This window comes from Homo sapiens, chromosome X, assembly GCF_000001405.40.
Source record: "Homo sapiens chromosome X, GRCh38.p14 Primary Assembly".
NCBI classification, from domain to species: Eukaryota; Metazoa; Chordata; class Mammalia; order Primates; family Hominidae; genus Homo; species Homo sapiens.
Window position 1 is genome coordinate 13,087,622 of NC_000023.11, and position 12,620 is coordinate 13,100,241.

Consider the following 12,620-nt stretch of genomic DNA (forward strand, 5'->3'; position numbering starts at 1 on the left):
CGATTATGTATAAATTAGTATACAGATTCACTACCATGGAGAGGATACTGTGTACATCTGAGGATACTGTGTACATATGGTTGAGTCACTTCACCTAGGCCTTGGGGAGGAGTTGGGGCATCTCCAGGGTAAAGTAATGTGGTTTAGCACGGGGACTTCCAAGGAAGCATCAGTATGAGATAGGGGAACATGGCTGACCAACGGCAAGATGATGCCCCATGATGGAGCAGATGGGATTGGCGTGGGAGGGGTAGTTTGTGAGACCAGAAGACTTGCAATCTCTCCTGCTGAGACCAATACCAACCAAAGAATAATTAGAGAGCATGGAGGACAACATGATCTCATGTGAATCTCACATCATACCTTACAAGTTAACTCTGTGTATCGCCTAAGGAACGGCTGAAGCTTCTTTTCTTGTAAATGACAATAGACACATATCCAGTGCCATTAAGGACAGCATCTGGTCACCCAGTGGCCAATAATGTCAAAGTTCTGATCACAAGGTGAGCAGTTTCCTGAAGATAGAAGAGTACGATGGCCACAGCCATGGGTTCCAACATAGCCACTCTCTGGGGCCACCAGACACCCTCCTCACACTCCGCAGAGTTTGCTTAAATGTGCTCTGAGCTGGATGCATTTGCTAAAGGTTTGTCTCTTCCCCTTTGTTAACCCAAGAAAACAGAAGGACGTCTCAGCTAGACCCCAGCCGCTGCCACCCCATCTCTTCTCCAACTCTGCTCCGGCAGCTGGCGTTTCCTGTGTTCTCTCAGTGGGTTAAGAGAATGGTGGTGGCACATTGTCCCTTAATTAGACTGCAAGAGCAGCCATCTCCTGCTCAACTTGCCTGGGCAATCTTTTTATTCATCATACCTGAAAGTAACAGTAGTGGCTTTTTGTATGGCATATGTTATATGTAATCATGATGACCTTCTTATAAGCAGAAGAGTGGAAAAAATACAGGAGGAACTTAGAACTGACATTCTCACTTCCATCATGTGGATTAGACTATTAGCATGTTGCTGTGCCCCCATTTCATGTTATTAATTAATTAATTAGGGATCAGGTTGGGCGTGGTAGCTCACATTTGTAATCCCAACATTTTGAGAGACCAAGGCAGGAGGATCACTTGAGCCCAGGAGTTCAAGACAGCCGGGGCAACATAGCTAGATGCCACTGTTTCCATAAAAAATAAAAAATAAATTCAGGCATGGTGGTATGTGCTTGTGGTCCCAGCTACTTGGGAGGCTGAGGTGGGAGGATTGCTTGAACCTGGGAGGTCAAGGCTGTAGTGAGCTGTGATCGCACCACTGTACTCCAGCCTGGGCAACAGAGCAAGACCCCGTCACAAAACACACAAAAAAGGATCAGCAAGCTTAGGTGAAATATTATTTTCGTAAGTGAATTTTTCATTATGAAAAGTTCAATAAATTTTTCATAAAACAGTATTTTTTATAAAACAATATTTAATTTTCAAAAGCAATATTTAATAACTAAGAAATTTGAACAATATAGGAAAGCACAATGATAAAAAACAAACCCCACAAAACCCTTATGGACTTCATTCTCAGCCAAAATTGCAGTTAATATTTTGATGTATTCCCTTCCAGTATTTTTTTTTCTCTGCTTCTACATATATTGGTAAACACTGTCCCTCTTTTTACAAACCTAGATCATTCTGGATATTCAATTGCGTATCCTACCTTTTTTCATGTTATGTAGCATTTTAGCCTCATTTCCCCATTCTCTTATAACATGATTTTTTTTTTTTTTTTTTGAGACGGAGACTCGTTCTGTTACCCAGGCTGGAGTGCAGTGGCACAATCTCGGCTCACTGCAACCTCCGCCTGCCAGGTTCAAACAATTCTCCTGCCTCAGCCTCCCGAGTAGCTGGGACCACAGGCATGTGCCACCATGCCCGGCTAATTTTTTTTTTGTATTTTTAGTAGAGACAGGGTTTCACCGTGCTGGCCAGGCTGGTCTCAAACTCCTGACCTCGTGATCTGCCCACCTCGGCCTCCCAAAGTGCTGGGATTACAGGCGTGAGCCTCCGTGCCCGGTCATAACATGATTATTAATGGCTATGTTCATTTTAAGAATATGCCATATTTTTTTTTCTAATTGTTGTTGAGGGATATTTAAGAGGTATAGAATTTTTCTCCATGGTAAACAACATCGCAATGAATATATCTGTCCATAGATTTTTAGACTATATCTCTGATTACTGACCAAACATGTGATCCTTGAATTAAATTTTTCAACATCAACAGATCTAAATATTTTTATGGCTGTTGATGCATATTGTCAGCCTGACCTTGAAAATGACTACACCAATTTATAGTCACAATCAGATTGTTAAAATTTTTATTATCAGACAATCCTTGGTACCGAGGACTGATAGTGACAGTGCAGTGTCTTAAGTGACAGTGAAAAGCATAGACCAGCTTCATATACGGAATTTAAAGATCCAAGAGAAAAACTGATCAGATATTGAACTAAGGGTGCTTCCCAGGGTTGTTCTAGAAGGAAATGGCCATTTTGGCAGAGCCACTGACCTTTAACAAAGATACCAGAATGAGTTGAATGCTCATTCTGCTTGAGCATGAAAAAGACATATACTTCATCCAGAATTTCCCTTCTATCCCCCAGATCCACACTTCTCTATTCAAGTCAGGGTTTGTGACAGGGTAGCCTAACAGGGTTTGAGGTTTCCATAAGGGGAGGGCTCATACGTATGAGTTTAGTTCTTGCAAAAAGGAAAGCGTAGAAGTTGACCTTTGAGGTCATTTCGTGCACAACATGCAGTAGGCAACGAGAGGTGAACCAACCTTCGTTCTTTTCTGCTTCTGGCCAGAGCTGACTCCGTCATTGTCTGTTTTCCCACTGATTATAATAATATCCGTTGGCTTCCAAAGGGTAGTTGGGGTTGAATTCCTGTTTATCAAAGGCTTGGAAGAGAGGCCCTCTGATAGCCTGTGCAAATGACTGGTAGGAAAGTACAGCTGTGGCCTTGGCGGGCCACATTGTCTGTCTCAGATGGCTATCAAATGAAGCCTTGGGTTGCCTCTAATGTAACAAAGCTAGAGTTAACAGTCTTCATCCTTACAGAGCTCTTGGGCTGATTGTGCAAGAGATTCATGATCTGATCACAAGAGCAAAAAGAACGCCTGTGTTGCAGATAACAAAGAATTACACAAGGCCTGAAACAAACCCCAATGTTTTAAAACACTTGGTGGAAATTTAAGTTGCAAAGCATTTTATCATCTCAGGCCATCTCTTACAGGGGCCAGCTGAAGCTACCCGTACACATCGTTTTACAAGCCCTGGGCTGTCAATGGGTCTTTTAAAACCAGCTGAACTGCGTTTTGCTTTTCAGTGTGTAAGCTGGTCAGCTTACAGCAGTACAAATTGGCAGCGTGGCAAGAAAGAAAACTGAAATTCAATCCAACACTGGGATTGGAAGCTCTTGAGACTCAAATGTCACCAACACCGGGGGCTTCTCCTCTAATTATCCTGTCAAACGAGGGTTGAAAATGTCAGCACAGACTTCAGTCTCAGCTCCTCCAGCAACCAATGAGAGTGGGCTTGGGTCTGGTTTAAATGATGAAGAACAAATTTGAAAAACCCTTCAGTTGATTTCAAGACTTCCTGGGACGGCGATGTTTAAACCACAATGTTCTTCTTTTGGGGCAAAGTTAAGAGCCAATCACAGTTAAGGTTTCTCTGCATGTTCTGCCCATATTTGGCTGTAATCTTGCTTCATCCAACTAAATTTATAATATATGTGAGTGAAAAGCAAGCCTTTGGGATTTGTCTCTCTCTCTCTTTCCTTGTTATAAAGGAAGCCTTATCTTTATGCATTTGGGGCTACCTGTGAACTTACAGTCTAGCTTCAAAGCAAAGAAAGGAGCAGCCAGTGTAGAAAACTTCGTTTTTACTTTTTTTTTTTTTTTTAAACAAGCTTTAACTGTAGCTTCTGGCTACAGGAAAGTACATAGAAAACCGAATCTAGTTTCGGCCTGTGCAGTACTGACCAGGAGAGGCTTATGAGATTATGGGGATATTGAAGAACACAGAATGTCACATGGATGATTGTATTTTATCTATAATGTATGTGTAGGAGAGATCCATTTCTCAGAGATGGCAAGAACTAAATGCACCCTTTGAAATATCTTCTTAGGGGTTGCTTGAGGAGGATGATCAAATCTTACAGAGAGATAAGACACAAATATGATAAAAGTTATTCTCATTTTAAGTGACTATTTATTGACCACTTGATATGTATCATCCATTTCATTCTCACCACAATCCTATGAAGGAGATTCAATTCTATCCACATTTTGCAGTGAAGAAACTGTGGCAGTGCATGTAACTTGCCCCAGGTGCCTGAGCTTATAAGGAGTGGAACTAAGAATCCACTCTGAACAGTCAGCTGCCAAAGCCCCTCACTCTTAGCCTCTTTGCTCTACTCCACTGAGATGTTCTCTTGGGTTTACTACCAAGAACAGAGGCTGTAAGTAGTATAGAATGCCCCCGGGGACCCCAGTGTCCAAGACACCAACTTCCACTGCCTCTCAGGACCCTAAGGAAAGAAAACTGAGAGGTTGTTCAGCTTGTCTCAGGTCCAGAACTGTCTGGTCAGAGGGGATCCTGGGATCCACCAGTTGAGCCCTTCATTCAGGGCCCCAGTTATTCCTAGTCTTGGGAAACCCAGCTCTAGAAGCCCCTCCCCAGCAGGATTGAGGACAAAGGGGCTAGACTAGAGACCCAGCAACATGGCCCTTCCATGTTCTCAAAACTCAAGAGACCTAGAAAAGAGAAGGGTGGCAAAGCAGCCCAGCCCCACCCCCCAGGGCCAGAGAGGCCCCACTTCACTCTGTAGAGCAGTGGGATTCATCTGGGTGCCATTTGGCCCTCCAGGAGATGTTTGGCAATGTTTAGAGACATTTTAGGTTGCCACAGCTGGGTTGGGGAGGCGAGGGTGCTACTGGCATCTAGTGGGTAGAGGCCAGGGATGCTGTTAAATATCCTACAACGCACAGCACAGCTCCTGCCACAAAGTGCTGCGGTGAGAAGCCCTGCCCTCAAGTCTTGGTTGGGCACATTCCACCCACAGCTCTGAGGAAGCTCCGTCTGGGGCTTCTTCAAAGAGTCATTCTGCAACCAGGAAGCTGGCAGCCCATACAACTATGCAGAAGGTGAAAGAGAGAAGGCGGGACCATGAACACGCGTTTTAATTACTGCATGTTTGTTTCTGACAGAGAGAGGTCAGTGTTTGCCTCCATTTGCAGGCATCAGGACCAAGGTGGGCAGTGGGCAGTGAGGGGGCAGGGGTGGAGGGCGGCACTAGCTCTGTGTAGCAGGCTGAATAATGGCTTCTAAAGATAGCAGATCCTGATCCCGGTAGCCTTCTATGAAAAAAGGTGGTCTTTGCAGATGTCATTAAGTGAAGAATCTTGAGATGGGGAGATTATCCTGTATCATCTGAGTGGGTCCTAAATGTAATCACACGTATTCTTGAGAGAAGGAGGCAGAGGGAGATCTACGTGCACATGGAAAAGGTGATGTAACAACAGCAGAAATTGGGGTGATGAGGCCACAAGCCAAGGAATATGGATGGCCACTAGAAGCTGGAAAAGGCAAGGATCAGATACTCCCCTAGAGCTTCCTGGGGGAACGTGGCCCTGCCCACACCTTGATTTGGGCCTAGCGAGACTGATTTCAAAATTCTGGCCGCCAGAACTGTGAGAGAATAAACTGTTGTCTTAAGCCACCAAGTTGGTGGTCATTTGTTACTGCAGCCATAGGAGACTAATCTACCCTGAGACTCCTGGGGCCCCCAGATGGATCCTCTGAGGCTGAGGGGCAAACTCTTCCATGCAGGCAAAGCCAGAAAAAGGGGAATGGAAATTTCCTTTGCACTTTCCTTGATACATTTACATTTCCCATCCCACCCTTTAAGCACCCTTTCCTGTGAAAACATGGCACCTGCCCCCTCACCGGCCTCTATCAGTCAACAATTCAACTGAATGTCGGGCAAAGCATATGACACCCCCAGTGCTTGGTTCAAACCTGTTTGAGTCACCTGTCACTTTCTACCTTGAATTTTTGTCACCAATGTACATGCAGTAACTTCTATACTAGACTGTGACTCAGACGCTCACAATCACACTCAAACACAGTCTAGTGTTTTTCACAGCCTGGTATAGAAGGTACTGCCTGTACATCAGAACAGGGGAGCAGGAGCCTGATCTGATTTATTATGAAGTCTCCCAAGGCCTCCAGCGCACAGTATCAGGCACACAGGAAACAATCAATGATTAATGTGTGCTTCCTCCATCCTATGAGAAATATTACTTAGGTCTCTTTATGACGAGTGGCCAAAAAGCACAAAGCCGAATCTGATGCTTATTAATAGTAATCCCATACTTGCTGTAAGCCCTGCAACAACTATCATTATCCATGTTTTGTTTTTCAATGGAGGTATAATTTACATACAGTAACATGCACACATCTTAAGTGTATAGCTTGATGAATTTTTACCTAAATATACCTCCTGGAAACCACTGACCACACAAACATCTATGTCTTTCCATCACTCTAGAAAGCTTCCTTTTTCCCTTTTCCTAGTCAATTAACCCCCATGCCCCTCACACTCCAGTGAACCACTATTCTGACTTCTACTCCCATAAACTAGGTTTGCTTGTTTGTGAACTTCATATAAATGAAATTGTACAGAATGTACTCTTGCATCTGGCTTCTTTCTCTTAACATAATGTTTTTGAGATTTATCCAGGTGATTGTATCAGTTTATTCTTTCTTTTTTTAATCTGCTGTGTATTATTCCATTGTAAGAATATGCCATAATTTGTTTATCCATTCTTCTATTGATGGACATTTGGATCATTTCCAGTTTGGGCATATTGTGAATAAAGCTGCTATGAATACTGGTGTATTTTATGGACCTGTGCTTTCACTCCTCCTGGCTATGTACTTAGGAGTAAAATTGCTGGGCTGTAGAGAAGGCATCTGTTTAACTTAATAGAAGTTAGTATCACTATTTTTGATTTGGATATGAGAAAAAAAGGGTTTTTTTAGAAAAAAAAAATGAAACAGTTACAATCTTTCTTCACTTATTTTCCCAATTCCATTCATTGTATTAATTTTTTAAAGAGTAGAGTATCTCTTTCCTGTGCCACAGGCATGGTTAATTGAATCAGCAGTACAGAAAGTTAGAGGGTCACGAGGTACGAAGAATCCAGCAAACTCACATCTGCGTAAATACACTCTCACATCATTTTATATGCATTCACACCAACCCATATCTTTAAAAGTGGACTTTCCTGACACTGGGGTTGACCACAGTGCTGACACAGACAGAATTCCTATGAAAGCAAATATTTTAAGAGGAAAATTTCCCCTGTAATGAAAACTTGATTGAAATGACAGTTGCAGGCAGTGAAAAGCATGTGGAATATGTAGAACGAGCAAAATCAGATCTTTCTGTGGTGTCCTTTCTGAGTATCCAAGAAGTCTCATTCCCCTGCCAAATGCACAACTCTCCTAAGGCCTGAGCACAAAGAGAACTGCCTGGTCTTCCCAGCTGCCAGCTCCCTTCCAAAGTGAATTCCTGAGTCCCAGCTGCTCCCCACTGGAGTGCCACTGAATTCTACAAAATCCTGACCAGCTATGCAAAAGCAAATAAACAGGGGCAAGTATTTTAAGACCCTATAGTGTCACAACACTGAAGGCTGGTATGCTAAAAGGAAGAACAGAAATGTCCAAGCTTGTTTCTCTACAAGGTATATTTTACAACAGCCATTACTCATCACAAGTAAAATTCGTTTCACCCAAATAGGCATTTCATACAATTTTTCTAATGATACACAGTGCTTGTTTTCAGATTACCTAAAGTCCCAACCCTTCTGCTATCTCAAACTTTGACCTTTGTCTGTGAGATGCATCTAGTGCCTCATTAAATGGCAGCTTGATACAATTATATATTCCTTGGTCCTTTCTTACAGAATCTGAGATGACACCCCGGGATTGCCACGGGAAAAATTGCCATGTCTGTGTGATATCAAATAGTCTGATCAAGTCAGCAAATAAGAAATGTCAATCACTCAGGTTTTGTCGTTGGCACAAGGAAATCAAAACAATGGGGTGATTCAATATCTTTCCCTTTCTTTTCTTATTTTTTTTTTTGGTTTGTTTTTAAACATTTATTTTTTCCACTGCTCTCTTGTTGTGTTGATAGTCATTTTCTGAACAAAAACAGAACACTTTCTACTTGATTTTCTTTGCCATTTTTTGAGAGACTATCGAATGTACTTGTCCTGAAACTGTTTTCAGAGCAGAATTTAGCTTTCTCAGTGGGACTGGTAATGCAATGGGAATTAGCCCTACATTTTCCACATTGATTTCCTGCAGCTCAACTTCCATATGAGTTGTTTTAATGTATAACTTATTGGATCTGTCATGATTTGGAGTTAATTTCTTTCTTATTCTAAAGAGCACACAGGATTGCTTAGGGAGAAATGACCATGGACTGGCAGAGGCTTCCTTATTAGGAAGTCAATGTATCTGCCACTGAAACCCCACATCATGGACCTCGGAAGCCTCCATCATGGTGGGGGATTTGGTTCTCTGCTCCGCATATTTTTTTTTTTTTTTTTTTTTTTTTTTGAGATGGAGTTTCACTCTGTCACCCAGGCTGGAGTGCAGTGGCGTGATCTCGGCTCACTGTATCCTCCACCTCCTGGGTTTAAGCAATTCTCTGCCTCAGCCTCCCGAGTAGCTGAGATTACAGGCGTCCACCACCACACCAGGCTATTTTTTTTTTTTGTATTTTTAGTAGAGATGGGGTTTCAGCATCTTGGCCAGGCTGATCTTGAACTCCTGACCTCATGATCTACCCGCCTTGGCCTCCCAAAGTACTGGGATTACAGGCATGAGCCACCACGCCCGGCCTCCTCTGTATATTTTTTATGGAATCACTTCTTTCTTATTTTAGTTCCACTAGCACAAGTAAGTTTTGATTTGGGAAATGGTGAACATATTACTGCACATGTTTTGTGGGCCCACAGACTCTATCATAGACTTTTTGTTGTTGTTGTTGTTGTTAATGTCCGATTTAATGATATAAAATTTACCTACAGTATAATTTAACCCTTTTATGAATACAATTCTATGAGTTTTGTAAAACAAATGTAGAGATGTAACTACCACCACAACTAAGATATTGAGTATATCACCCCACAAAGTTCCACTTTGCTTCTTTGAAGTCAGTCTCCTCCCACCAATCCCCAGTTCCTGGAAACTACTGATCTGTTTTGTGTACCTATAGCTTTGTTTTTTCCAGAATGTTGTATTAATGGAACCATATAAAATGTGGCCTTTTGTCTCTCACTGTTTTCACTCAGCATGACGCTTCTGAGATTCATTTATGTTGTGCATATCAGTACTTGTTTCTTTTTATATCTGAGCAGTATTCCATTACATGGATATACCAAAGTTTGTTTATACATTTACCTATTAATAGAGCATTTGGATTGTTTCTAGTTTGGGGCAATTATGAACAGTGCTGCTATGAACTTTCTCTTAGAAGTACTTGCGTAGACAAGCATTTCCATTCTATTAGTAAATTACCTAGGAGTAGAAATGCTGAGTTGTATGCTGTGTTAAAAGAAACTCCCATACAGTTTTCCAAAGTGGCAGTATCATTTTGCATTTCCACTAGTATTTGATAAGATTTCCAATTGCTTTGCATCCTTGGCAGTATTGTCAGTTTTTTTTTTTGTTTTTTTGTTTTTTGTTTTTTTTTTTATTATAAGCCAGGCATAGCCCCAGTTACTTGGGAGGCTGAGGCAGGAGGCTCGCTTGAACCCAGGAGTTTGAGGTTGCAGTGAGCTAGGATCACTCCACTGTACTCCAGCATGGGCAACAGAGTGAAACCCCATATCTAGAAAATATTTAAAAATAGTTAAGTAAAAACTGTAGACATTCTCTTGGGTTTTCAGTGGCATTGCATTGTGCTTTTAGTTTGCATTGCCCTAATGACTAATTATATTGAACATTGCCCTAATGACTAATGATATTGAACATTCATGAGCTTCATGAGTGTATTTGCCATCTGTTTCTCGTGTGTAATCAAATCTTTTGATCATTTTTTAATTGAGTTGTTTGTTTTGTTTGATTATTGGAATGTGACAGTTCTTTAGATATTTCTCGATATGAGTTTTTAAAATCAGATACATGATTTGCAAATATTTTATCCAAACTCTTGACTAGCTTTTTTATTCTCTTACCAGTGTCCTATTATACACTCTCATTTGCAGTGAATTGGGGTTGTTTCTTGCCTTCACCCCTGTCATCTTGGACAGCAGGGTAAGGAGATAGGTGGTGCCATTGGCTTCTGGTCCAATGCATAACACTCTGGCTTAAGGTCTATTATGGGTTGAATGTTTTGTGTTTACCCCTAATTTACATGATGAAATCCTAACCCCCCAATGAGATGGTATTAAGAGATGGGGCCTTTAGGACATAATTAGGTCATGAGAGCTTGTTCTTGCTCTCTGCTCTCCATTATGTGAGGATACAATGAGAAGATAGACATCTGCAAACCAAGAGGTGGGCCCCCACCAGACACTGGATTTGCCAGCACCTTGATCTTGGACTTCCCAGCCTCCAGAACCATGAGAAATAAATGTTTACTGTTCAAGCCACCCAGTCTCTGGTACTTTGTTATAGCAGCTCATGCTGACTAAGACAAGGTCAGTCTCCAGAGAGAAGAATATTGACCTAAACATTGGATTCTTCACTTCTCTAACTGCAGAGTACATAGAATAATTGGGAAAGTTTGATTAGTATGCAGATTTCCAAGCTCCACTTCCAGAAATGTTTATTCAGTACCTGTGAAGTGAGACCTAGATTGTTGCGATATTTAATAAGCAGCCAGATTATCCTGATATAGGTGGCTCTGGGATGAGACTTTGAGAAATCCTGAATATCTAAAGCCACTCATGATGCTTCATGTCTGGTGTGGTAAAGATGCGAAGTCTATGTCCAGGCCTAAACAAGATGGTGAGGTGTAAGTCAGAGCAGGGGATGTTGCCACACAATTAGACAAAAAGAGAAGAATCACCAAGAATGCAGGGATTTTAGGGCATTTATACTGAACATTCAGCCTGTTCCCTCATCCATCACTCTGCTATCATAGGCATGTCGTAATAAAAGTGGCTTTCATGTGTGATATTTTATTTGAATATAAACTGGAGGGGAAAGGTTGTTGACAAATAAATAAATTTTGGCACACTAAAAAATATCAATCAGGCTGCTGTGGAGGTTCATGCCTATAATCCCAGAACTTTGGGAGGCCAAGGTGGGAGGATCACTTGAGGCCAAAAGTTCAAGACCAGCCTGGGTAACATAGCAAGACCTCATCTCTATTTAAAAAAAAAAAAAATCAATTCTTAACCTTGATCCTGAATAAGAATATTGTCTCCTTATGTCATACATTACTGGGCTGCCAGCTATGGTGCTGTGATGGATTCTGGTTCATATTTTTAGGTCCACTGTTCTTACAGGAAGTCATCATGACCTTTTTCAACAGGGATGTGTGGAAGCTCTTTGGTCTTACAGTAATACTTTTCTAGACAAAAGTAGAACTTGTCCTGCTTATTTTCAAAAAAATTCATGAAGGATATTGGAGTATGAATCATTATTGTGTTTTAGAGAAAAGGAAACACAGACAGTAGCAACAAAACACCCAACTTCTATGTAAGGGCAAAGGGAATTTTTCCCTTCCCCTCTGAAGGTTTGAGTCTGCTGAAATAAACTGATAAAGAGGAGAAAGGGCATACAAGTTTATTAATGTGTAAGTGTGTATGGGAGCCATACAAAATATGATACTAAAAGAAGGGCCAGATGGGTGAAGCTTAAATAGCACATTCTTCACAGAAGGGAGAGAAATAGAGGAATGTAGGCAATTTTGAGGTGTAATGAATGATTTTCAGGGGAAATGAATAAGCCCATAGAAGAGACAATAGCCTGGGACAAAATTTCTCTGAGCTCTGGAGAGGTGGCTGACAAATTTCAAGAAAGTGAGGGGTAGAACTTCACTATGAACAAAGGTTGTCTTATTATGTAAGTAAAATCTTCCAGGTAATCTCTTGGACCTTGCCTCAGAAGAATAGAAGTCTGCCTGGGCATGGAGGTGACTTTTAGTCTTTTCTCCTCTTTGGTGGCCAATCTTTCCTGGTTATTTGATGAGATTCATAGATAAGGGGTTTTAAGAAAATTGAATCTCTTTTCCAAGAAGTTTTCTTCCCACAGATAAAGGAACTCCCAGAGAGAGCCCCTTCATGCACTTTAGGGGTAGAAACAAGGGAAGGTTACAAAGTCCTTGGTTCTAAAGGCAGCTTTTAAGGACTTCCAATTTCCTTCACTTCAAAAGTGCTCAGCATGCCACAGCTGATACTTTGGGGTATCATTCTCTGAGCCCCAACCTCTATAAAATCCAGGCATCCAGATATTTGGACTATGTAATACCAAACAAACCAGTTGATCTGTTTTTCCTGAATTGGACAAACTATTCTGACATTGCATAAGTACAACCAGCATGA

At 41.5% G+C, this 12,620-nt stretch overlaps 1 long non-coding RNA gene across 1 annotated transcript in view, besides 2 other annotated features; it reads left to right on the forward strand.

Moving 5' to 3' along the window:
* LOC105373133 (uncharacterized) overlaps positions 1 to 8,174 on the forward strand; it is a 51,063-nt gene extending 42,889 nt beyond the window's left edge. The window contains exon 4 of the long non-coding RNA NR_171577.1: positions 8,022 to 8,174. This is a non-coding gene — a long non-coding RNA (uncharacterized LOC105373133). The remainder of the gene's footprint in view (positions 1 to 8,021) is intronic.
* Positions 24 to 183: an enhancer, noted in NCBI's record as "active region_29433". NCBI's record gives its function as "activates an Ori minimal core promoter by ATAC-STARR-seq in GM12878 lymphoblastoid cells {active_cell/tissue: GM12878}" and the evidence as "EXISTENCE:reporter gene assay evidence [ECO:0000049][PMID:35858748]".
* Positions 3,156 to 3,295: an enhancer, noted in NCBI's record as "active region_29434". NCBI's record gives its function as "activates an Ori minimal core promoter by ATAC-STARR-seq in GM12878 lymphoblastoid cells {active_cell/tissue: GM12878}" and the evidence as "EXISTENCE:reporter gene assay evidence [ECO:0000049][PMID:35858748]".
* Positions 8,175 to 12,620: the final 4,446 nt, after the last annotated feature.